Genomic DNA, 26,345 nt, shown 5'->3' on the forward strand with positions numbered 1-26,345 from the left:
TGGTGGCTTACACCTGTAATCCCAGCTATTCAGGGATTAAATATAAATATATAAATAAATAAATACATATATATATATATTTTTTTTTTAAACTTGTCTTGCTTCCATGAACACCTTACGAAGGTTTTCTTATGGTCTGGTGCTGCCTTGTCTGCTCAAATAAACTTTAAAATTTGAATATATATGCCTAAGTTTATCTCATAGTAGCCCTGTCAGAAGTGAGGATCTGAAGGAGGGCACTGAGGGTGGCACCTGCAGCAATGAGCCACCTGTAGGGGCACTGGTGAAGCCATTGTGCTTGTTTTTCTACCTGCATCGATAAGCCCCCTTGATAGATACAAGTTTTCACAACTTGTGGCAACTTAGGAGTTTATTTGAGCATTTTTCATTCAGACTAGGGCCAGACATCAGATTGGATTCAACCTGGGTTCTGCGGGAAGTCTCAGGTAGGTAATGTTTCAAGAAGTCAGAAAATAATAGGTTCATCTGAATCCAAGGAGTCTGGGACTCCTGCTCAGAACCTGTGCATTTCTAGAGATATGGGTACATATGGTAAAAAAATAATGCCTAGTTGCGGTGGCTCACACCTGTAATCCCAGCACTTTGGGAGGCCGAGGCAGGTAGACCACCTCTGGTCAGGAGTTCGAGACCAGCCTGACCAAAATGTTGAAACTCCATCTCTACTAAAAATACAAAATTAGCTGGGCATGGTGGTACATGCCTGTAATCTCAGCTACTCAGGAGGCTGAGGCAGGAGAATCGCTTGAACCTGGGAGGCGAGGTTGCAGTGAGCCAAGATCGTGCTGTTGCACTCCAGCCTGGGCAACAAGAGTGATATGCAGTCTCAAAAAAAAAAAAAATTAGAATTATGGTGGCCCCAGTTGGAAAGTTTGTGGGTTTAGGGGAGGTGTTTTGTTTTGTTTTGTTTGAGATAGGATCTTAACCTATCTCACCCAGACTGGAGTGCAGTGGTGCAATCACAGCTCACTGCAGCCTTGACCTCCAGGACCCAATTGATCCTCCCACCTCAGTCTCCCGGCTAGCTGGCTGGGACTACAGGCGTGTGCCACTGTGCCAAGCTAATTTTTTTTTTTTTTGAGACAGAGTCTCACTCTGTTGCCCAGGCTGGAGTGCGGTGGCATGATCTCAGCTCACTGCAACCTCCACATCCCGGGTTCAAGCTGTTCTCCTGCCTCAGCCTCCCGAGTAGCTGGGATTACAGGCATGCGCCACCACGCCAGGCTAATTTTTTATATCTTTAGTAGAGATGGGGTTTCACCATGTTGGCCAGGCTGGTCTCGAACTCCTGACCTCAGGTGATACACCACCTCAGCTTCCCAGAGTGCTGGGATTAGAGATGTGAGCCACCGAGCCCAGCCAACACCCCATCTTTAAAAAAATATTGGCCAGGCGCAGTGGCTCACGCCTATAATCCCAGCACTTTGGGAGACCAAGGTGGGCAGATGACAAGGTCAGGAGATCGAGACCATCCTGGCTAACATGGTGAAACCCTGTCTCTACTAAAAATACAAAAAATTAGCTGGACGTGGTGGCAGGCTCCTGTAGTCCTAGCTAATCGGGATGCTGAGGCAGGAGAATGGCGTGAACCTGGGAGGCAGAGCTTGCAGTGAGCCGAGATCACGCCACTGCACTCCAGCCTGGGCGTGAGAGACTCTGTCTCAAAATAATAATAATAATAATAATAATAGTAATAATAAAATAAAATAAAATAAATAAATATTGGCTGGGCACAGTGGCTCACGCCTGTAATCCCAGCACTTCGGGAGCCAAGGCGGGCGGATCACGAGGTCAGGAGTACTAAAAACAAAAATTATCCGGGCCTGGTGGTGCACGTTGGTAATTCCAGCTACTTTGGAGGCTAAAGCAGGAGAATCACTGGAATTTGGGAGGCGGAGTTTACAGTGAGCCAAGGTGGCATCATTGCACTCCAACCTGGGCAACAGAATCAATCAATCAATCAATGATGGAGTGTTGTTCTGTCACCCAGGCTGGAGTGCAGTGGTGCAATCATAGGCCACTGTAACCTCAAACTTCTGGTTCAAGCAATCCTACTGTCTTAGTCTCCCAAGTAATTATGACTATAGGCATATGCCACCATTCTCGAATAATTTTTTTTTATTTTTTTATTTTTTGAGATGGAGTCTCACCCTGTCGCCCAGGCTGGAGTGCAATGGCGTGATCTCGGCTCACTGCAACCTCCGCCTCCTGGGTTCACGCCATTCTCCTGCCTCAGCCTCCCGAGTAGCTGGGACTACAGGCGCCCGCCACCACGCCCGGATAATTTTTTGTATTTTTAGTAGAGACGGGGTTTCACCGTGTTAGCCAGGATGTTCTTGATCTCCTGACCTCGTGATCCGCCAGCCTCAGCCTCCCGAAGTGCTGGGATTACAGGCGTGAGCCACCACACCCAGCCAATTTATTTTTTGTAGATACAGGGTCTTGCTATGATTCCCAGGCTGGTTAACATGTTGTGAGCCACCATGCCTAACGTTTAGAATTCTGAAGTAAGAAGAAATTGTGGCTGAGTGCAGTGGATCATGCTTATAATCCCAGCACTTTGGGAGGCCCAGGCGGGCAGATCACTTGAGGTCAGGAGTTCGAGACCAGCCTGGCCAATATGGTGAAACCCCATCTCTACTAAAAGTACAAAAATTAGCCGGGTGTGGTGGCACACACCTGTAGTCCCAGCTATTAGGGAGGCTGAGGCAGAAGAATCGCTTGAATCCGGAGGCAGAGGTTGCAGTGAGCCAAGATTGTGCCACTGCACTGTAGCCTGAGCGATAGAGTGAGACTCTGTCAAAAAAAAAAAAAAAAGGAAAGAAAGAAAGAAAGAGAAAGAGAGGGAAAGGAAAGGAAAAAGAAAAGGAAAGGAAGAGAGGGAGGGAGCAGGAAGGAGGAGGAGGGAAGGAAGGACGGAAGGAAAAAATTATAAGAGGTTTTTCTTCACCTTTTAAGTAATCTGCCAAAGAAAGATTTTGTGTTTTATCAAAATAATTTCCTGTACTTGATCTTGTGTTTTATCAGGTCTTTCATTACTTAAGAAAACTGAGTCCTCTCTATTAAAAGAGTGGATGTTTTCCCTACAACTCTGTAACTTTCTGTCTTTGTCTTTAAAATCTTTTGACTGTATGACTGAGTCTCATTCTGTTGCCCAGGCTGGAGTTCAGTGGCGCGATCTCAGCTCACTGAAACCTTCGCCTCCTGGGTTCAAGTGATTGTTCTGCCTCAGCCTCCTGAGTAGCTGGGATTACAGGCTCGTGCCCCCATGCCCGGCTAATTTTTGTATTTTTCGTAGAGACAGGGTTTTCACCATGTTGGTCAGGCTGGTCTTGAACTCCTGACTTCAGGGGATCCTCCCACCTCGGCCTCCCAAAGTGCGGAGATTACAGGTGTGAGCCACCGCACCCAGTCTCTTTGTGTAACTAAATATTTCACAGTGACCTGTGGTACTATTTGAGTATTTTAAACCTTTTGACATTTTTTACAACTTCCCAAAATCAACTTCTAAATTAAGTTCTTTTGACCTTGAAATTACTTTGGAATGTTCCAAGGGCCCCTACATTATCTCAAAAGAATTTTTTTCCCTCCTTAGGGAAGATATTAAAATAATTAAGCTTATTTGATATGTTAAATTTGCATAGGAAGTATTATCAAATGAAAAGTGATGTTTTACCTTCTTTAAGTCATACATTTTTGGGTATAGTTAGTACTAGTGTTCAAGAAATTACATAAAGTTCCTAGAAATCTGATAGTCCTGATACCATAGTATTAGTCTTAATTCTAGTTATTATCTTAAAATATTGTATGTCTTGAAATAACAAAATTTCCTTATCAGTATCATTATAATATGAATACCATTTTCTTTTCTCCTAAGCTATCTATTGCTTACAGCAATTTGGTAAGTTATAATTTTGTACAAAGAATGTAAACATTTATCTTTTCTTCCTACTTTATCCCTGCAGAATTCAGAAACTATTAGTATTTTTATTTTCATGGCAATATAATTATTTGCATAAGTTCAGTAAGAATCTGCTCTCTTTGTACCAAGACACAATTGGAAACATTAGTCATGTTACCAAAGCTTTGACTGAAATGTCATATTTTCAGATATAATCACACAACTTTTAGGAACTAAGATTGACTCCATGGAGCCAATACGGCCCCTTGAAGGAAAAAGCTGGCTTTGTATCTTGTACACAAGATTCCCTCACATGTTTCCCTTGCGATGTGTAAGGGACGGTCACTTCGCACAGGCCCAGGAACCTCAGGACATTTTGGGGATCGCAAGAAGAGAGAAAGTCACTGAAACCTATAGGATAGCAGGACCTTGGCTAGGCTTCCTAGGATGGAGAGGCATTTAAAAAAAATAATTAATTAATTTTTTATTAATTATTTGTGCTGCTATAATAAAATATCTGAGACTGGGTAGTTTATAAAGAACAGAATTTATTCCTCCCAGTTCTGGAGGCTGGGAAGTCCAAGAGCAAAGTGCCAATAGGTGTGATGTCTGGTAAGGGCTCAGTCTCTGCTTCCCAGATGGCTACCGGAATGCTGCATCCTCTGGAGGGCAGGAACACATGTGTCCTCACATGGTGTAAGAGGTGGAAAGGGAGCTAGCTAGTTCCCCTGAGCCATTTTATAAGGGCTATCATCCATTCATTACAGCAGAACCCTAATGACCTCATCACCTCTCAAACGTCCCACTTTTTTTTTTTTTTTTTTTTTTGAGACGGAGTCTCCCTCTGTCACCCAGGCTGGAGTGCAGTGGCGTGATCTTGGCTCACTGTAACCTCCACCTCCCGGGTTCAAGCGATTCTCCTGCCTCAGCCTCCAGAGTAGCTGGGATTACAGGCACACGCCACCACACCAGCTAATTTTTGTATTTTTAGTAGAGATGGGGCTTCACCATGTTGGCCAGTCTGGTTCTTGAACTCCTGACCTCAGGTGATCCACCTGCTTCAGCCTCCCAAAGTGCTGGGACTACAGGTGTGAGCCACCGTGTCTGGCCCAGAGTTTTATTATTACTCCAATCGGTCTCCCCGAGAATTCGAGAATTGGAGTTTTTAAGAATAATTTGCTGCCTGGTGCGGTGGCTCATGCCTGTAATCCTAGCACTTTGGGAGGCCGAGGCGGGCGGATTGCCTGAGTTCAGGAGTTTGAGAACAGCCTGCGCAACACGTGAAACCACGTCTCTACTAAAATACAAAAAATTAGCTGGGCATGGCAGCGTGCGCCTGTAGTCCCAGCTACTCGGGAGGCTGAGGCAGGAGAATTGCTTGAACCCGGGGGGTAGAGGTTGTAGTGAGCCGACATCATGCCACTGCACTCCACCGTGGGCGACAGAGTAAAACTCTGTCTCCAAAAAAAAAAAAAAAAAATTTGCTGAGTAGGGGGCCAGTGAGTTGGGAGTTCTGATTGGTCGGGTCAGAGATGGGAGTCAAAGCTGTCCTCTTGTCACTGCTAAGTCAGTTCCTGGGTGGGGGCCACAAGACCAGATGAGCCAGTTTATCGATCTGATTGGTGCCAGCTGATGAATCAAGTGCAGTGTCTGCAAAATATCTCAAGCACTGATCTTAGGTTTTGCAATAGTGATGTTATCCCTAGGAGCAATTTGGAGAGGTTTAGAATCTTGCAGCCTCCAGCAGTATGGCTCCTAAACTGTAATTTCTAATCCTGTGGCTAATTTGTTAGTCCTGCAAAGGCAGTCTAGTCTCCAGGAAGGCTTGTTTTGGGAAAGGGTTGTTGTCTTTGTTTCAAAGCTAAACTATAAACTAAGTTCCTCCCAAAGTTAGTTCAACCTAGGCCCAGGAATGAACAATGACAGCCTGGGGGTTAGAAGCAAGATGGATCTCTTTCATTGTAATATTTCTCAGTTATGATTTTTGCAAAGGCAGTTTCAGTATTTTGTTTTAAATTTCAGATTCTACTTGATGATTGCTGGTATATGGGAAAGCAATTAAAATCAGATGACTCCAAGGATTTTGGCCTCAGCAAGAATGGATTTGTTGTTTACTAAGAAAGAAAAGGTTTCTGGCCGGGCACAGCGGCTCACACCTGTAATTCCAGGACTTTAGGAGGCTGAGGCAGGCGGATCACGAGGTCAGGAGTTTGAGATCAGCCTGACCAACATAGTGAAACCCCATCTCTACTAAAAATACAAAAAATTAGCTGGGTGTGGTGGCGGGACCTGTAATACCAATTACTTGGGAGGCTGAGGCAGGAGAATCGCTTGAACCCGAGAGGCGGAGGTTGCAGGGAGCTGAGATCGCACCACTGCACTCAGCCGGGGCGACGGTGCAAGACTCTGTCTCAAAAAAAAAAAAAAAAAGAAAAAGAAAAAGAAAAAGAAAAGGCTTCCAGTAGAACTCTGTTGGGGAAGAATATAGGAGTTGAATTAAATTTGAGACATCTAATACACAGCCTTTTAGATGCTAACCTGAGTAGGCAGTTAGATATTAGAGCATAGAATTTATGGGAGGGTTTCGGGCTTCAGATAAGAAATTGGGAGTGGAAATATACGGATGCTGCCCAGGCGCAGTGGCTCACGCCTGTAATCCCTGCACTTTGGGAGGCCGAAGCGGGCAGATCACCTGAGTTCTGGGGTTCGAGACCAGCCTGGCCAACATGGTGAAAACCCATCTGTACTAAAAATACAAAAATTAGCGGGGCATAGTGGTGCATGCCTGTAATCCCAGCTACTTGGGAGGCTGAGGCGGGAGAATCGCTTGAACCTGGGAGGCAGAGGCTGCAGTGAGCCGAGATCGTGCCACTGCACTCCAGCTTGGGCGACGAGCGAAACTCCATCTCAAACCAAACAAACAATAAAAAAAAAAAAATGGATGCCACTTAAAGTGATGAGCCTAATTGTGTGATCACCAAGTGAATGTAGAGAGAGATAAAAAGATATCTGTAAGATCAGCCGAGAGAAAGGAAAAATAGACCCAAAGTCAGGTGAGCAAGTTTTTATTAACCTGTCGGCTGCCCCCTTAATAGTCAAGGGAAGCAGCACCAAGCTTACAGAATGAGGGGTTTATATTGGGGAGGGAAGTTTGAGGGAGTTTTTTGGTATGGTTGCATCCCAGGGTTGTTTGCTGGTTAATTTTGCCACATATCACCTTGTGACATTTATTACAGGAGGGTGTAGTAAAGTTTGTTTGTGCTTCCCACAACCTCCCCCTGTGCGGTCTGGATGGTTTGTTATTGGGGTTTGCTTATCGCAGCAAGGTCTGATAAGTGAAGTCTGTTGGCTTCACCGTAGCGACTACATAAGGGCTTAGAAACGTAAAGAGGCTTGGGGAAGGGTGGGCGGCATGGAGAAGAATTGCAGAGCATTGGGGGAGGGGTGGGCAGCACAAAGAAGCTTTCTCGGGGCAGTTGTCCCTCTCATGCCAGACTTTTAATAGGTAATGGAAGAGGGGTGCTGTTATCATCTGGCTGCTTCTTACTGGGAGAGGGCGACAGTTGTCGGGGAAGGCTGGACGGTAGGGACTGCTGTTCTTGGAGCCTCTGGTATTCCTGGAGCAGCATCATATTTTGTATTGTCCCGTGGGTGAAAGCGCTGATAGGGTCCTGTAAAAACTGGGTGAGAAGGCATAGGAGACAAGGGCTGAATGCTAGAAAAAGATGAATGGTTATGGCTGGGCCTAGGACGGGCATTAGCCATGGAAACCAGCTACTAAAGGACTGGGAGGGCCACGCTGGCCATCGCAGGATGTTTTCTTTAATTTTTTGTGCTCGGTCCTTTATATTTTTACAGCATCTTATACTAAGCCAGATTGGTTAAGATAAAAGCAACACTGTTCATCTAGAAAAAGGCATAGTCCTTCTTTTTCGGCTGTGAGTAGGTGTAAGCCTCTGCGGTTTTGAAGAACCACCACCGCTAAAGAATCTATTTGTGATTGGAGAGTATTTGGCTATCTCTTCCAAGCTATCTGTGAGGTCTTTGGAGAGGGATTGGTAATAGGAAATGGAGATGGTTAATCCCATAATCCCAGTTCCAACTCCTGTAGTTATTCCAAGGGCTACTAATAGAGGTATGAATTGTATAGCACGGCAGTGTCGGATAGGGGTATTGGTAGGGGTTGGTCTCCTGGGCAACATTGATTTTTGGACTGAGGAAAACCAGGGTGCAGGTGCCCGTCCAGTTAGAAGGGAGGCAAATATAAGTTGAGGTACCACATAGGAAAAGTATACCTTAGCTTGGTAGACAGAACTGATTGTGTGTGCTAAAAAGATGTATTATTTTGTTATTCTCATGCATCCATACTCCTAGGGTCCTGGCTAGGGCTGCTGGTGTAAGTGGTTGTAAAGGGGTGTTTGGTTTAGTCCGGGAGGCTTTTGGGTTCTTTTTCCTTGTGTAAAAGGAAGCATTTTGTGTCCACTAAGATCCATGTGGGAGTGTTGCTGAATGTTGGGATAAGGAGACAGTCGCAGGTGATGGGTGCAGGGATGGTGCATGGAGAGGGCAGCCAAGGGAAGAGGGATAAACAGGGGAAGTGTCAGCCATTACAGTACTCTGAATTTTTATTAAGGAGGTGGGAGGTGTCAAGGGCCAGGGGGGGCTAGAGAAATGAAGCCTGTCTTTATTGTTGGCAGCTTTGAGAGTAGTATGTTCAGTGGAAGGTTTGAGTCGTAGGGTATAGTTGCACAGTTTGGAATTCAGGTTGCCGAGGGGAATGCCAGAGGGTAGATGTCATTGGACGCCCAGTGGTGCTGCATAGGATAAGATTGTGTGGGTTGTTATGGCTCCTAATATGGGTTTATCATGGCTGTGGTAGGGGGATACGTTGCGTAAGTAGGGATGTAAGGTTGTAAGAGCCAGAACTCGCTAGCTAAGTTGGGGGAGATTTCTGTTAATGCCGGCATGTCGAGTTCGAGGCGGCTGTTAATGAGGATTTCGGGATGGTAGGTTACTTGGGTGGAAGTCCAGTTATAGGCTGAGGCAGGGATTGCATTGTATGTTGTGGAGAAGAGGGATACGCAGAGCCAGCAGTCTCTTGCCAGGGAGGAATTGGAGTTTTTTAGTAAGGAGTGTGTGAGACTAAGTGTTCTGTATAGGTGTTCAGGGGTTATAGGTATTGGTTGGGCTGAAAGAAGGGTTGGGGTATTGATTCTGAGATGGGTTAGAAAGGAAGAGAGTGAGCAGAAAAGTAAATAGTTCGGTTTCACCAGAGTGAAGCCATAGAGAGCCTTGGAAGAAAAGGTCGGTTATCCACTCAAAAAAGGCTTCCAGGGTGTTGTTCCATGGGCGGAACTAGGAAATATCTTGTGAGAGGGAGTGAGGAAGAGAGTGAAGCAGCAGGATAGACAAAAGCAGGGCATCTAGGGAGGATGTGGGAATGTTTGTTTGTTAGTGATTGTGATTCCTGCTATACGGATAACAATTAGGCAGAAGGCTAAAGTGAGGGAGGGTTTTTGGCTGGTATTCCAATCGAAAGGAATTGCACTATACAGGGTAAGTACTATAATGCCTGCAATTAAGGTGTAATAGAGTGTTTCCATTAAAGGAGGCTAGTTGTAATAGTAGTTTAAACCTGTTTGAGATGGATGGATTTACTGATGTGAAGTTTCTTCTGGGATGGATGTGAGGCAGACTCAGTTTGGCCCGAGGAATGTGCTGGAATACCGATTAGAAGTTGGTGAAGTGCAGGTCAGTAGATTGGAGGTGGGAGCTCTCTTTAACCTGGAAAGGTGATACCAGGAGGTATGTCCTGAGAGTTTGGCTGCAGTAGGGGTTGTAAGGATGACCTGGAAAGTGCCTTCCCCTTTTGGTTAAAGGCTGGTTGGGTTAAGGGCTTTTAGGAAAACATGTTCTCCTGGTAGGAGGCTGTGGTCAGTGGGGAGTTTATTCAGTTTTGGGAGGGCCTGGTCTGCCTGTTTGCGGAGGAGATGGCAGATGAGGGAGAGTGTTGGGAGGTATTCTCCTAATTGAAAATCAGAAGGAGGCCTGTTTTGTAAGAGGAAAGGGCATCCATACATTAATTCAAATGGGCTGAGGAAGGAGGGTGCTTTTGGGTTGGCTCTGATGCGGGCTAGAGCTATGGGTAGGAGGGAAGTCCAGGGCCTCTGGACTTCTAGAGTGAGTTTGGTCAACTGAGTTTTAAGGATTCCATTTGCCCTTTTGACTTTTCCTAATGACTGGGGTCAATATGGGATATGGAGGCACCAGTGGACGCCAAGGGGCTGGGAGACCTGTTGGGTGATTTGGGAAATGAAGGCAGGGCCATTGTCTGATTGAATGGAGCAAGGGAGACTAAACCTAGGGATGATTTCTGTGATGAGGATCTGGGAGACTACTGCGGCTTTTTCTGAAGAGGTAGGAAATGCCTCCACCCACCCAGAGAAGGTGTCTATAAGAGTGAGAAGGAATCTTGTGTTTTTGACAGGAGGCATGTGGGTGAAGTCTATTTGCCAGTGTTCCCCTGGGAGTATTCCTCTTAGCTGGTGTGCAGGAATAGATGGGGAATGGAGGGCTCCTTGAGAGGAGGTGACAGAGCATATATGACAATTTGAAGTTATGTTTTTTAGTGAGGTGAATAGGTGAGGGAAGAAGAAATATGGGTGGAGGAGGAGATACAGGGGACATGCACCAGTATGGAAGGATTGGTGGAGGGATGTCAGGATTTTGTCGGTTTGTCCCTGGGGAAGAACTAGCTTCTGGTCCTTAACTAGGCAGTCCCCCTGGAGGAAGGTTCCTTGTTGCAGTAATAAGGCCTTCTCAGTAGGGGAGTATTGAGGTTGGATTGCAGGGGTAATGAGGAGGAGGGAGGCAGGAGCGGAAGAAAGGGAGGCTTCTTTTGCTGCCTCATCAGCCTCTATGTTCCCTCCTGAGATTTTATCTGTCCCATTTGATGTCCCTGACAGTGTATAACTCCTGCCTCAGTTGGGAGATGTAAGCCTAGTAAGTCTGAGTAATCCTAGTGGCCTGAAGGAGTTGGTAAATAAGGGAGCCGTTAGTGATAGGGGTCCCTTTGGCAGTGAGAAATCCCGTCTCTTGCCAGATGGTGGCGTGGGAATGAAGAATGTGATAGGCATATTTGGAGTCTGTGTAAATATTGACTCGTCTGCCTTTGGAAACGGTTAGGGCTCTGTTGAGAGCTATGAGTTCAGCTTTTTGAGAGGAGGTTCCTGGAGGTAGGGGCTTAGCTTCAGTTACTTGGTCAAGGGAAACAACTGCATACCCAGCAATTTTGGGGGAGCAAGTGGGACAGGAAGAGGAGCCATCTATAAATAGCTGGTCGTCAGGGTTGGTGAGAGGCTTGGAGGAAATGTTGGGAAAGTATGGCTGCAGGTGATCTTGGATGTCAGTGCAAGAATGAGTAGGAGGGGAAGAAGATACAGGGAGTAAGGATGCTGGGTGAGGTGAGCACTTTTGGCGAGACTGAATTTGGGATTTTTGATAAAGAGTATCGGGGGAACCAGCCCCCGATATTTCAATGTAGGTTCTTTCTATTTTCCCTAAGTGTCGGCTGGTCTGAGAAATAAAGTGAAAGAGTACAAAGAGAGAAATTTTACAGCTGGGCCTCCGGGGGTGTCATCACATATTGGTAGAACACAGTGATGGCAACCCCGAGCCACAAAACCAGCAAGTTTTTATTAGGGATTTTAAAAGGGGAAGGGGTGTATGAACAGGGAGTAAGTCACAAAGATCACGTGCTTCAGAGGGCAATAAAGGTCACAAGGCAAGGCAAAATTAGAATTACTGATGAGGGCCTATGTCCCGCTGTTCATACATTGTCTTGATAAACATCTTAACAGGAAACAGGGTTCGAGAGCAGACAACCGGTCTGACTAGAATTTACCAGGCTGGAATTTCCCAATCCTAGTAAGCCTGAGGGTACTGCAGGAGACCAGGGTGTATTTCAGTCCTTATCTCAATCGCATAAGACAGACACTCCCAGAGCAGCCATCTATAGACCTACCCCCAGGAATGCATTCCTTCCCCAGGGTCTCAATTATTAATATTTCTTGCTGGGAAAAGAATTCGGCAATAATTCTCCTACTCATATGTCCGTCTAGAGGCTCTCTGCAAGAAGAAAAATATGGCTCTGTTCTGCCCGACCCCACAGGCAGTTAGACCTTATGGTTATCTTTCCTTGTTCCCTGAAAATCACTGTTATTCTGTTCTTTTTCAGGGTGTGCTGATTTCATATTATTCAACACACATATTTTACAATCAATTTGTACAATAGTGGTCCTGAGGTGACATACATTCTCAGCTTATGAAGATAACAGGAATAAGAGATTAAAGTAAAGACAGGCATAAGAAATTATGAGTATTGATTGGGGAAGTGATAAATGTCCATGAAATCTTCACAATTTATGTTCAGAGACTGCAGTAAAGACAGGCATAAGAAATTATAAAAGTATTAATTTTGAGAACTGATAAATGTCCATGAAATCTTCACAATTTATGTTCAGAGACTGCAGTAAAGACAGGCATAAGAAATTATAAAAGTATTAATTTTAGGAACTGATAAATGTCCACGAAATCTTTACAATTTATGTTCTTCTGCCTTGGCTCCAGTCAGTCCCTCCATTCAGGGTCCCTGACTTCCCGTAACAAAAGAGGGCATGAAGTAACTGAATCTGGGAAGGAGGAAGGGAGCCTAATTCTCGGGAGGAGAGGAGATCCTGTAGATTATGAGGACTATAGATGGTGGTATTTTGACTAAATGTTAGTTTCCTGCTTTCTAGAGCTAAAGCGGCTGCTGCTGCTAGCGCTCTAAGACAGGTTGGCCATCCTCCGACTGTGTTGCCTAATTGTTTAGAGAGGTAGGCTACAGGGGCAAAGGAAGGAGGGTCTCCTTTCTGTTGCCCTAAGACACCAAGGGCTATTCCTCAGCTTTCAGCAGTATAGAGAGTGAAAGGTTGGGCTGGGTGCGGCAGCTCACACCTGTAATCCCAGCACTTTGGGAGGCCAAGGCGGGTGGATCATGAGGTCAGGAGATCGAGACCATCCTGGCTAACACAGTGAAACCCCATCTCTACTAAAAATACAAAAAATTAGCCGGGCATGGTGGCGGGTGCCTGTAGTCCCAGCCATTTGGGAGGCTGAGGCAGGAGAATGGCTTGAACCTGGGAGGCAGAGCTTGCAGTGAGCCAAGATCGCGCCACCGCACTCCAGCCTGGGCGACAGAGCAAGACTCCTTCTGAAAAAAAAAAAAAAAAAAAGGAGAGAGTGAAAGGTTGGGAGATATCAGGTAAGGACAGAGCTGGTGCAGTGACAAGAGCAGTTTGAAGTTTGCGGAAGATGGGGAATATGTTATGTGAGGGATTTAGGGGCTCATTGAGGGGGCCTTTGGCTGCTTCATACAGGGGGTGAGCTAGGAGGGCAAAGTTGGGAATCCATATTCTAAAAAAGCCCGCTAGTCCTAGGAAGGAAAGGAGTTTCCTTTTGGTGGGGCGGGGGCAGATTATCTATTAGTGCCTCTTGGGCAGGGTCATAGCCTGGTCCCCAGAGGAAAGTTGAACTCTTAGGTAAGTTACTACGGAGCTGGAAAATTGAGCTTTGGAGGGGGAGACTCTATACCCTTTGGTGGCAAGAAAGTTTAAGAGAGAGACTGTGTGGGTTTGAGAGTCTTCTAGAGAGGGGCTGCAAAGGAGAAGTTCGTCCACGTAATGAAGAAGACAGCTGGGGGAAAGGTTTAAGGAGGTGAGATTTCAAGCTAAAACTTGTCTAAAGAAATGAGGGCTATCTCTGAAGACTTGAGGGAGGACAGTCCAGGTGAGTTGTTGTGACTGGAGGGTGTCAGGGTCAGTCCAGGTAAAAGCAAAGAGGTTTTGGGAATCAGGGTGAAGGGGAATAGTTAAAAAGGCATCTTTCAGGTCAATAGCAGTGTAGTGGGTAGTGTTGGAGGGAATGAAAGAGAGAAGTGTATAGGGGTTAGGGACTATGGGATGAATAGGAAGGATGGCCTGATTGATGGCTTGGAGGTCTTGGATGAGTTGGTATGAGCCATCTGATATTTTAACCAAGAGGATGGGGGTGTTATATGGAAAATGTGTTGGCCTAAGAAGACTGCGTGAGCAGAGCTTGTGACTGGCTGTGAGCCTTTTTGGTGGGTTAGGGAGATGGGATATTGGGGGGACATTGAGAAATTTAGAGGGGTCTTTTAACTGGATTTTGATGGGGTCACGGTGAGCAGCTAGGGAAGGGGTGGTGGTGTCCCATACTATTGGGTTTACAAGAGAGGTGGGAAGTGGGTACTGGGGAGAGGGCTCAGGGGCCAGACTAGCGCAAAGGAGTAGGAGGGACTCTGGTTGAGGAAGGCAGAAAAAGGTGATAGAATCTTTGAATTTGGCTAAAAGGTCTTGGCCTAGGATGGGGGGTAGGGCAATGAGGCATGATAAGGAAAGAGTGTGAGAAAACAGTATCAAACAGAGAGCAAGTAAGGGGTCTGGTGGCGCGTGGACTAACATGAGATGAGTCCGTCAAGCCCCACAACTGAGATCTGGGAGGCATGAGTGGGTCCTGAAAATTCAGGCAAAGCCCAGTAGGTGGCCCCGCTATCGATTAAAAAAGAGATCGGCTTACCTGCTACCAGTAGAGTTACACTGGGCTCCATGCAGTGATGGCAGTGGGGGCCAGGGGCCCTGGGCCTTGTCAGTCTTCAGTGGCTAGGCCGAGGAGCTGTGGGAGTGCAAGCAATTCTTCACTTTTTGTCTTGCTGAAGGGGTGGTGGCTCTGAGGAGCAGGCTTGTCTGTCCGTTTGCTGAGAGGACAGAGGGACTTCCAGTGGCCTGTCTGCTGGCAGACTGGGCAAGGGCTCTTTGGTACTCGAGGGTTAGGACATGCCCATGCCCAGTGGCCTTCTTTGCCACACTTAAAACAAGGCCCAGGAGGTTTGCTGCTATCAGGTCTTTGTGCCCTTGGGTAATATGGCTGGGTTGATGGATAGCCGCTGCTAGAAGTTGGTATTTAGCACGATCTCTTTGGGCTTTCTCTAATTTATTTTGCTCATCCCTGCTATTAAAGACTTTGAAAGCCAGGTTAAGGAGGTCTTGTTGTGGGGTTTGAGGGCCATCTTCAGCCTTTTTAAATATGCGCTGGATGTCGGGGGCAGATTGGGGAAAAAATGGGTGTTAAGAACAATAGTTCCTTCCTGGGAGGCAGGATTGACATGGGTATATTTTTGGAGAGCCTCTATAAGGCGAGAAAGGAATTGGGCAGGGTTTTCATCGGCCTTTTGGGAGGTTTCTTTGAGTTTTTCGAAATGTACACCCTTATGGGCAGTTTTGTTAAGGCCTGCAATGAGGCAAGTAATCATATGATTACGGGAGGCCCGGCTGGTGTCTGGGGGTTAATATTCCCAGGTAGGCTCTTCCCAGGGGGACTGCAGCGGCCCCTACTGGCCAGTAAAATCTTGCCAATGGAAGTCATCCGCATGGGCCTGGGCTGCAAGTCACATTGTTTCCTTCTCATCCAGAAGGAGGGTAGAATACAGAATAATATAGAGATCATGCCAAGTAAGTTCATAAGTCTGGGTGAGATATTTAAATTCTTTCATATAAGTGTCGGGATGGGAGGACAAGGACCCCAGACGTTCCTCAGTTTGGGAGAAATCAGAGAGGGAAAAGGGGACGTGGACACAGACAATCCCTTTGGCCCCTGCCACTTCCCGGAGAGGAAGCAAGGGAGCGGGCTGCTGGGCATGCTGGGCTCGAGGACGAGTAAGGGGTGGAGACGGGGAGGACTCAGAGTAGGAGGCGGGATGGTTGGAGAGACGGAGGTAGAGCCGGAGTGGAGGCATACGGTGGGGGGGTCATGCTGTTCTGGTGGAGGATTAGGATGTTGTCAAGGAGGGGAAAAATCAGTGGGATCAAAGGAGGCGAAGTCATCGGCTGGGGCTATTGGGGTGAGGGGAGCAGGAGGCGAGTGGAGTTTGGAGCGGGCGAGGATAATTTGAAAAGTAGAGCAAGACTGGCAGAGGGAAGGATGACTACAGAGAGTAAAGAAAGCCAGAACATAAGGAATCTCAGACCACTTCCCATTGCGGTGACAAAAGTTGTCTTAAGTCTCTGAGCACGTTGGAATCGAAAGTGCCATTTTCGGACCATTGGGAGTCATGGTCTAATTTGTATTGAGGTCACGCGGTATTACAGTAAAAGATAAGCCTTTTAGGGCAGATTTCTGAACGGAGGCCAAGAGTATTGAGATTGCATAGGAGGCACCCAAGGCAGGTAGTTTTAGAAGGAGCAGACTGAAAGGCTCCTATTATGAATGGAAGTAGGGGCGCACGTAGAAGAAGAAGAGACTGCCGGTGACAAGGACGTGGAAGAGGGCGTTCCCTTTCCTGGGGAACTTGTCTGGAATAGAGAAGGTAACCGCCGTGTCAGGTGTCCCTGACACAGAGGAACCAGAAGCCTGGAGGCCGGAGGAAGCCCTTGACCCAGGGCTGGGTCTTTTGGAAACTGAGAGACAGGCGGTCAAGGGTTTCGGAGAACAGCAACAGTCTCTTTTTACTCACCCTGGCGGAGGCTTTGATGGTGGATGAAGTCGTCAGCAGTGGGAGAGTCTAGGAGATTCTCTGGGACTTCGGCAGGTTCAGGGAAGGGGAGAGACTGGCCAGGAGATAGGTGATAGGGGAGGGAGGGGGAGAGAGAGAGAGAAAGAGAGAGTGAGAGAGAGAGAGACAGAGAGCGAGAGCCGGCCAGAGTCTATCCCCTTCCCGGTTTCGGCACCAGAATGTAAGGTCAGCCAAGAGAAAGGAAAAATAGACCCAAAGTCAGGCGAGCAAGTTTTTATTAACCTGCCGGCTGACCCCTTAACAGTCAAGGGAAGCAGCACCAAGCTTACAGAATGAGGGGTTTATATTGGGGAAAGTAGCTTGAGGGAGTTCTTTGGTATGGCCGCATCCTGGGGTTGTTTGCTGGTTAATTTTGCCACATATCACCTTGTGACGTTTATTACAGGAGGGTGTAGGTAAAGTTTGTTTATGCTTCCCACAACCTTCCCCTATGCGGTCTGAGTGGTTTGTAATTGGGGTTTGCTTATCGCAGCAAGGTCTGATAAGTGAAAGTCGGCTGGCTTCACCATGGCCCTTGATAAGGGCTTAGAAATGTAAAGAGACTTGGGGAAGGGTGGGTGGCACAGAGAAGAGTTGCAGAGCATTAGGGGGAGGGGTGGGCAGCACCAAAGAAGCTTTCTTTGGGCAGTTTGTCCCTAACAATATCCAAGGACTGAGAACTGAGGAGAGCAAAGATCACCTGGTGGCTATCAAGTGGACCATCCAGAGGCAATACTCCTTATCTGAGGAATTCATAAGTAATTAGACTTCCCCTTTTTTTTTTTTTGAGATGGAGTCTTGCTCTGTCGCCAGGCTGGAGTGCAGTGGCACAATATTGGCTCACTGCAACCTCTGCCTCCCAGGTTCAAGTGATTCTCCTGCCTCAGCCTCCCGAGTAGCTGGGATTACAGGCATGTTCCACCATGCCCAGCTAATTTTTTTTTTGTATTTTTAGTAGAGACGGGGTTTCACCATGTTAGCCAGGATGGTCTTGATCTCCTGACCTTGTGATCTGCATGCCTCGGCCTCCCAAAGTGCTGTGATTACAGGCATGAGCCACTGCGCCCAGCCCAGACTTCCCTATTATCTAAAGCCAGCATCTGGTACCAAGCTTCTTTACAAAAAACTTATAAGTAAGTATGTAGCAGGATGAGCCACAGACAAAACTCCTCAGACACTGGGTTAAAGAAGGAAGGAGCTTTATACGGTCGGGAGCATCGGCAGACTCACGTCTCAAAAACCGAGCTCCCCGATTGAGCAATTCCTGTCCCTTTTAAGGGCTGACAACTCTAAGGGGGTCCACATGAAAGGGTTGTGATCGATTGAGCAAGCAGGGGGCTTGCATGCACCAGTAATCAGAATGGAACAGAACAGGACAGGGATTTTCACAATGCTTTTCCATACAATGTTTGGAATCTATAGATAACATAACCGGTTAGGTCAGGGGTTGATCTTTAACTACCAGGCCCAGGCCATGGCACCAGGCTGTCTGCCTGTGGATTTCATTTCTGCCTTTTAGTTTTTACATCTTCTTTCTTTGGAGGCAGAAATTGGGCATAAGACAATATGAGGGGTGGTCTCCTCCCTTAACTAGAATTTCTATACGTCTCTGGAATGTATGCATGTTGAAACTCATTGTGCAACCCTTGCTGACATCATGGCACCAAAATGTCTACAGATGTAATCACTTATCATGACATGTGTGGCTAAGATGGTCCAAATTATCCTTAGTCTCCCACTTTAAGGTCCATAAATACTCCTAAGTAAAATCCACTGTGCAGCTCAGTCCTCTCTTGCCGAAGCGCCCTGTTGCAGTCTGCTGCAATGTGTTATCTAATATAACTTTCCTTTTCAAACCTAAACTGTTGTTGGTAAATTATTTTACCACCTGCAAGCCAACCACTCTCTGCTGCTGGGGCTCTGATAAGGCCACTAAGAACTAGTCCTCAATGGCTGGGTGCAGTGGCTCATGCCTGTAATCCCAGCACTTTGGGAGGCCGAGGTGGGCAGATCACGAGGTCAGGAGATAGAGACCATCCTGGCTAACATGGTGAAACCCTGTCTCTACTAAAAATACAAAAAAATTAGCTGGGTATGGAGGCGGGCACCTGTAGTCCCAGCTACTTGGGAGGCTGAGGCAGGAGAATGGCATGAACCCAGGAGGCGGAGCCTGCAGTGAGTGGAGATCACGTCACTGCACTCCAGCCTGGGCAACAGAGGGAGACTTTGCCTCAAAAAAAAAAAAAAAAAAAAAAAAAAAAGAACTAGTCCTCAATACTATGAATTCATGTAGAAGAGGAAGACTCAGAATAAATGGCAAGTGAAGTAGCAGAAGGACCAGGTGTTTCTCTGTATTTTGATGCATTGACGACTTGAGGCCTTGTGGACCCTTGAAGGATGGCCCCTCTCAGTGTTAGCTAATTCCTAGAGATAGTAAACAGCACTTTGTGGATTGAGCCTTTCAAATACAAACCAACCGAGTGCGCTCCCTCACCACCTTCATTATTGAGCTCTCACACTCTGGACACTATTTTCCCAACTTAATCATTCAAGGACAAAGTAACCGACAATTAGGGACAGCCCTTATGCCTCAGAGCCCGCTTAGCATTGGCTTAGCAGCCAATGCTAAGCCTGCTTGTCATTCCTTTCCTGTTCCTTCCCATGGAAAATACAATTAAGGCTGTTACCCACATTTTCCTCTTGCTCCTGCCTCCTGACCAAACCTACTACCTTTAAAACACTAGGACATGCCTGTAATCCTAGCACTTTGGGAGACCGAGGTGGGCGGATCACTTGAGCTCAAGAGTTTGAGGTGAGCCTGGGCAACATGGTGAAACCTGTCTCTACAAAAAATACAACAGATTAGCCAGACATTGTGGCATGTATCTGTAGTCCCAGCTACTCAAGAGGCTGAAGTGAAGGATCACTTGAGCCTGGGAGGTTAGGGCTGCAGTGAGCTGTGATGGTGCCACTGCACTCCAGGCTGGGCAACAGAGTAAGACCCTGTCTCAAAAACAAAACAAAACAAAAAAACACTATGAAAGTGTGGTAGCTTTGAAGCCAAGTGAAAAATTGGTCCTCCAGAAAAAACAACCCACAGAATGGGAGAAAATATTTGCAAACCATACATCTGAAAAGAGCTTAATATCAAAAATATATAAGGAACTCAAACAACTCAAAAGCAAGAAAGCAAATAACCTGATTTAAAAATGGGCAACAGGCTCAGCACAGTGGCTCATGCCTGTAATCCCAGCACTGTGGGAGTCCAAGGCGGGTGGATCACTTGAGGTCAGGAGTTTGAGACCAGCCTGACCAACATAGTGAAACCCCATCTCTACTAAAAATACAAAATGAGCCGGACGTGGTGGCGCATGCCTGTAATCCCAGCTGCTTGGAAGGCTGAGGCAGGAGAATCGCTTGAACCCAGGAGGTGGAGGTTGCAGTGAGCTGAGATTGCGCTATTGCATGCCAGCCTGGGAAACGAGTGAAACTCCGACTCAGAAAAAAAAAAAGGGCAACAGATCCAAAAAGACATTCCAAAAAGAAGCAGAGGCTTATGATCTAATAATTAATTAAAGGTCGTACCTCTTAACATTGTTGCATTGGGGATTGTTTCCCACACTTGATCTTTGGGGGACACATTCAAACCACTGCAAATATTATTCACAATAGCCTCAAGATACAGAATTGACTTGTGTCCATCAGTGGATGAATGGATAAAGATAATGTGGCATATATGTACACAGTAGAATACTACTCAGTCTTAAAAAGAAAGAAACAGTCATTTGTTACAATGTGGGTGAACCTGGAGGACCTTATATTAAAGTGAAATAAGCCAGGCACAGAAAGATAAATATTACATTATCTCACTTACTTGTGGAATATAAAATAATTTCAACTCAAAAGTAAGGAATGGAGGCCAGGCATGGTGGCTCACACCTGTAATCCCAGCACTTTGGGAAGCCGAGGTGGGCAGATTGCTTGACCTCAGGAGTTGGAGACTAGCCTGGGCAATATGGTGAAACTGAGAGGAGAGGAGAAGGGGAGGGGAGGGGAAAGGAAAAAGGAAAGGAAAGGAAAAACAGTGGTTACCAGGGTGTGGGGGGATTGGGGAGATGTTGGTCAAAGGATACAAAATGTCAGTTAGATAGGAGGAATAAATTCAGATCTATAGTTAATAACAACGTACTGTATTCTTGCAAATGGCTGAGAATAGATTTTAAGTGTCCTTACCAGAATATGATACGTATGGTAATGCATATGTTAATTAAGTTGATTTAGCCATTCCGTAATGTATACGTATTTCAAAATATCATGTCGTTAAAAAAGAAAGAGAGAATTGGCCAGGCGCAGTGGCTGACACCTGTAATCCCAGCACTTTGGGAGGCCGAAGAAGGCGAATCATGAGGTCAAGAGATTGAGACCATCCTGGCCAACATGGTGAAACCCCGTCTCTGCTAAAAATACAAAAATTAGCTGGGCATGGTGGCGCATGCCTGTAGTCCCAGCTACTTGGGAGGCTGAGGCAGGAGAATCGCTTGAACTCGGGAGGTGGAGGTTGCAGTGAGCCAAGATTGCGCCACTGCACTACAGCCTGGGCGACAGAGCAAGACTCTGTCTCAAACAAAAAAAAAAAAAAAAAAGAGAGAATTTAGTTCTCAGATAACAGAATTGTTGATTGCTCTAGAAGCTGCTGGCAGGTCAAGTGGGATGAGCACTGGGAATTAACCATCAGATTCCATAATTGGATGGCACCGTAAACAGGGAAAACATAATGAAAGTGGAGAAGAGTAAGCTTTAGACCAAACACTTTAAGTGGTTGAACTTTGTCCTCAACAGGAGAAAGAAGCCCAGTTCCAAATTTAAATTACAGGGGAGATAGCATGAAAATGTCAAGGCAACAATGTTCCCAGGGCGCATAATGGGTTTTTCTGTGTGTGCATGTGTGTGAGTGTGCTTTGATCGCAGGTACTGAGCTTCCTGCTAGTGGGAGGGTCCATGAATGTCTTGGCTATTGAGGCCCCACAACTCTGAGGGTTAAAAAGTCAAGTGGATTAAAATGGATCTGATTTTCATGTTACAGAGAGAACATATTAGTTTTTTTGCTGTACTAACTTCTTAGTACAGACTAAAAGAGCAGATCAGTTTAATGAAAAGACAAGAAAAATAAATCAGGAAAGGATTCAGAGAAGTGGGATTTCAATTTGGCCTTAAGGGAGGACAGGATGTTGAAAGGTGGAGGAGAGATGTGGTATCTCAGGTGGAGAAACAACCAGGGCAGTGGCAATAGTGCACCTGAGAGGCGGCTTGGCTGAGTGTGGGCATCCACTGGAGAGAGATGGGAAATCATTCAGGAGGTATCAGTGGAGGCTGGGTTCTGGTAGGTTGTGAAAATCAGGCCGTGGTGTTTGGGCTTGGCATCCTTGGCCAGGGTGGTAAATGGACCATTTTCTGCTATAACTACCTATGGTAGTTACACCAACATGGGATGACAAGACTTTTTTTCTGCTGAACTTGGATATGGTCTTAGAAATGGCTCTTCAGATAATCATTACTGGCAATCAATATGAAACTTACTACCAATCTGGTGGTAGGCAAAAGGAAGCAAATGCAGGTTTTCTCAATCAGTAAGGACATAATAAATGTGGTGTTTAAGAAATATTGATATTTAGGATAGGTCAGCTAGAGGCTGTTGCTAAGTATATAATGCTGAGGTCACTAGAACTCAGCAGACAAACTTGGGGAAAGTTTAATAATTTGATGATAATATTAGAGTTTTTCTCTGCACTGGTAAGAAATTTCAGTTAGGTTATTGTGTCAGGTCCCTTTGTGAGAAAAACAGTCTCATTTTGGCTTGTCAAGTTACAGTGGCTTGAGAGTAGATAAGGATAGTATATTATGATTCTTCTTTATTTCCTCTTCTGTTTTTTTTTTTTGTTTTGTTTTTTTGTTTTTTTTTTGAGGCAGAGTCTCGCTCTTGTCATCCAGGCTGGAGTGCAGTGGTGTGATCTCAGCTCACTGCAACCTCCGCCTCTTGGGTTCAAGCAATTCTCTGCCTCAGCCTCCCAAGTAGCTGGGATTACAGGTGGCCGCCACCATACCTGGCTAATTTTTCTATTTTTAGTAGAGGGAGGGTTTCACCATTTTGGCCAGGCTGGTATTGAATTCCCGACCTTGTGATCCACCTGCCTTGGCCTCCTGAAGTGTTGGGATTACAGGCGTGAGCCACCGCACCTGGCCCCCTGCATTTTTTTTTTTAAGACAGTGTCTCATTCTGTTGCCCAGGCTGTATTACAGTGGTGCCATCATAACTCACTGAAGCCTTAACCTCCTGGCTCAAGTGATCCTCCCATCTCATCCTCCTGAGTAGTTGAGGCTACAGGCACGAACCAGAATGCCAGCTTTTTTTTTTTTCTCTTAACTACTTTTTCTCCTTTTTTTTTTTTTTTAATTTAAATTCTGGGGAACAGGGGCAGAACATGCAGGTTTGTTACAGAGGTATACACGTGCCATGGTGGTTTGCTACACCCATCAACCTGTCATCTACATTACGTATTTCTCCTAATGCTATCCCTCCCCTAGCCCCCAACCCCTGACAGGCCCCAGTGTGTGATGTTCCCCTCCCTGTGTCCATGTGTTCTCACTGTTCAACTCCCACTTATAAGTGAGAACATGAGGTGTTTGGTTTTCTGTTCTTGTGATAGTTTGCTGAGAATGACGGTTTCCAGCATCATCCATGTTCCTGCAAAGGACATGAACTCATCCTAATTTATGGCTGCATAGTATTCCATGGTGTATATTTGCCACATTTTCTTTATGCAGTCTATCACTGATGGCCATTTGGGTTGGTTCCAAGTCTTTGCTATTGTGAACAGTGCCACAATAAATATACATGTGCATGTGTCTTTATAGTAGAATGATTTATAATGCTTTGGGTATATACCCAGTAATGGGATTGCTGGGTCAAATGGTATTTCTAGTTCTAGATCCTTGAGGAATCGCCACACTGTCTTCCACAATGGTTGAACTAATTTATACTCCCACCAACAGTGTAAAAGCATTCCTATTTCTCCACATCCTCTCCAGCATCTGTTGTTTCCTGACTTTTTAATGATCACCATTCTACCTGGTGTGAGATGGTAGCTCATTGTGGTTTTGATTTGCATTTCCCTAATGACCAGTGATGATGAGCTTTTTTTCATGTTTGTTGGCTGCATAAATGTCTTCATTTGAGAAGTGTCTGTTCATATCCTTTGCCCACTTTTTGATGGACTTATTTTTTTCTTGTAAATCTGTTTAAGTTCTTTGTAGATTCTATATATTGGCCCTTTGTCAGATGGATAGATTGCAAAAATTTTCTCCCATTCTATAGGTTGCCTGTTCACTCTCATGGTAGTTTCTTTTGCTGTGCAGAAGCTCTTTAGTTTAATCAGATTCCATTTGTCAATTTTGGCTTTTGTTGCCATTGCTTTTGGTGTTTTAGTCATGAAGTCTTTGCCCATGCCTACATCCTGAATGGTATTGCCTAGGTTTTCTTCTAGGGTTTTTATGGTTTTAGGTCTTACGTTTAAGTCTTTAATCCATCTTGAGTTAATTTTTGTATAAGGTGTAAGGAAGGGATCCAGTTCCAGCTTTCTGCATATGGCTACCCAGTTTTCCCAACACCATTTATTAAATAAGGAATCCTTTCCCCATTGCTTGTTTTTGTCAGGTTTGTCAAAGATCAGATGGTTGTAGATATGTGGAGTTATTTCTGAGGCCTCTGTTCTGTTCCATTGATCTATATATCTGTTTTGGTACCAGTACTAGGCAATTTTTTTTACTGTAGCCTCGCAGTATAGTTTGAAGTCAGGTAGGTAGTGTGATGCCTCCAGCTTTGTTCCTTTTGCTTACGATTGCCTTGGCTACGTGGGCTCAATACCCCTGATGAACATTGATGCGAAAATACTCAATAAAATACTGGCAAACCGAATCCAGCAGCACATCAAAAAAGCTTATCCACCAAGATCAAGTCGGCTTCATCCCTGGGATGCAAGGCTGCTTCAACATATGCAAATCAATAAATGTAATCCATCACATAAACAGAACCAATGACAAAAACCACATGATTATCTCAATAGATGCAGAAAAGGCTTCGACAAAATTCAACAGCCCTTCATGCTAAAAACTCTCAATAAACTAGGCATTGATGGAATGTATCTCAAAATAATAAGAGCTATTTACGACAAACCCACAGCCAATATCATACTGAATGGGCGAAAACTGGAATGAAGGATTCTTTTTATTTTTTATTTTTTTTTATTTTGAGATGGAGTCTCGCTCTGTCCCCTAGGCTGGGGTGGAGTGCAGTGTCGCCATCTCGGTTCACTGCAAGCTCCAACTCCCGGGTTCACGCCATTCTCCTGCCTCAGCCTCCCGAGTAGCTGGGACTACAGGGGCCTGCCACCATGCCTGGCTAATTTTTTGTATTTTTTTTTTTTTAGTAGAGACAGGGTTTCACTGTGTTAGCCAAGATGGTCTTGATCTTCTGACCTCGTGATCCGCCCGCCTCCGCCTCCCAAAGTGCTGGGATCCATGCCCGGCCAAAAGCATTCCCTTTGAAAGCCGGCACAAGACAAAGATGCCCTCTCTCACCACTCCTATTCAACATAGTATTGGAAGTTCTGGCCAGGGCAATCAGGCAAGAGAAAGAAATAAAGGGTATTCAATTAGGAAAAGAGGAAGTCAAATTGTCTCTGTTTGCAGATGACATGATTGTATATTTAGAAAACCCCATAGTCTCAGCCCCAAATCTTCTTAAGCTGACAAGCAACTTCAGCAAAGTCTCAGGATACAAAATCAATGTGCAAAAATCACAAGCATTCCTATACACTAATAACAGACAAACAGAGAGCCAAATCATGAGTGAACTCCCATTCACAATTGCTACAAAGAGAATAAAAATACCTAGGAATACAACCTACAAGGGATGTGAAAAATCTTTTTTTTTTTTTTTTTTCAGTTTTATGTAGAGACTAGGTATCACTATGTTGTCCAAGCTGGTCTCAAAGTCTTGGGTTCAAGCCATCCTCCTGCCTCAGCCTCCCAAAGTGTTAGGATTACAGAAGTGAGCTTCGGCGCCCAGCCTGTATTACTTTCCTTTTTCTTTCTTTCTTTTTTTTTTTTGAAATGGAGTCTCCCTCTGTTGCCCAGGCTGGAGTGCAGCGATTTCTGCTCACTGCAGCCTCACCTCTTGGGCTCACGTGACCCTCCCACCTCAGCATCCCTAGCTGTTCAAATTTATTGTCCAACTCTTTTGAATCGTTTATCAACGCAAATCTGTCAATGCCCACTTATTTTTATTTATTTTTTTGAGGCGGAGTCTCGCTCTGTTGTCCAGGCTGGAGTGCAGTGGCGCAATCGCGGCTCATTGCCCCTCCGCCTCCCCGGTTCAAACGATTCTCGTGCCTCAGCCTCCCAAATAGCTGGGATTACAGGCGCGCGCCACCACGTCCGGCTAATTTTTGTATTTTTAGTAGAGACGGGGTTTCGCCATGTTGGCCAGGCTGGTTTCGAACTCCTGACCTCGGGTGATCCGATCGCCTCGGCCTCCCAAAGTGCTGGGATTACAGACGTGAGCCACCGCGCCCGGCCCTCATGAACTTATTCTTTAGCGTTTCATTTTGAGAGCGGGATTCACAAGGGAATTGCGGAAACAGCAGCGAGGCCCCGCGACCCCTCGGCCCACGTGCGCGCTGTCCCTCGGGTCGCCCCGCGCCCGCCGGGGGCGGAGTCCGCTGTGACGCGTGCAGGGCGGCGCGCTCCCGGAAGTGACGC

At 45.9% G+C, this 26,345-nt stretch overlaps 1 protein-coding gene and 1 long non-coding RNA gene across 5 annotated transcripts in view, besides 2 other annotated features; one reads left to right on the top strand and one right to left on the bottom strand.

The window, feature by feature from the left end:
- Nucleotides 1–6,968: 6,968 nt before the first annotated feature.
- Nucleotides 6,969–16,870, bottom strand: UBE2V2-AS1 (UBE2V2 antisense RNA 1). Of its 3 annotated transcripts, XR_928850.3 has the most exons (4): nucleotides 16,820–16,870; nucleotides 16,491–16,584; nucleotides 14,558–14,653; nucleotides 6,969–7,599 (listed from the first exon to the last, which is right to left on the bottom strand). It is a non-coding gene; the product is annotated as a UBE2V2 antisense RNA 1 (long non-coding RNA). The 3 variants fall into 3 exon arrangements; XR_928848.3 differs by having other exon boundaries at nucleotides 16,491–16,870; XR_928851.3 differs by lacking the exon at nucleotides 6,969–7,599 and adding an exon at nucleotides 13,136–13,172 and having other exon boundaries at nucleotides 16,491–16,870.
- Nucleotides 14,662–15,161: an enhancer, noted in NCBI's record as "H3K4me1 hESC enhancer chr8:48909281-48909780 (GRCh37/hg19 assembly coordinates)". NCBI's record gives its function as "activates a minimal SCP1, AML or CMV promoter by ChIP-STARR-seq in primed H9 embryonic stem cells {active_cell/tissue: H9 hESC(primed)}" and the evidence as "EXISTENCE:reporter gene assay evidence [ECO:0000049][PMID:30033119]".
- The window catches only part of UBE2V2 (ubiquitin conjugating enzyme E2 V2), a 67,272-nt gene continuing 56,304 nt past the window's right edge, over nucleotides 15,378–26,345 (top strand). Inside the window, exon 1 of one of the 2 annotated variants that reach the window (XM_017013808.3) lies at nucleotides 15,378–15,489. In XM_017013808.3, the coding sequence (XP_016869297.2) occupies nucleotides 15,393–15,489 (97 nt within the window). In that variant the 5' untranslated portion in view covers nucleotides 15,378–15,392. Of the gene's footprint in view, nucleotides 15,490–16,175; nucleotides 16,344–26,345 lie in introns of those variants that run through there. The other variant, XM_011517583.4, reaches the window with a different exon arrangement.
- Nucleotides 26,078–26,337: a silencer, noted in NCBI's record as "silent region_19180". NCBI's record gives its function as "represses an Ori minimal core promoter by ATAC-STARR-seq in GM12878 lymphoblastoid cells {active_cell/tissue: GM12878}" and the evidence as "EXISTENCE:reporter gene assay evidence [ECO:0000049][PMID:35858748]".

The sequence above is a fragment of the Homo sapiens genome, chromosome 8 (genome assembly GCF_000001405.40).
Source record: "Homo sapiens chromosome 8, GRCh38.p14 Primary Assembly".
NCBI lineage: Eukaryota > Metazoa > Chordata > Mammalia > Primates > Hominidae > Homo > Homo sapiens.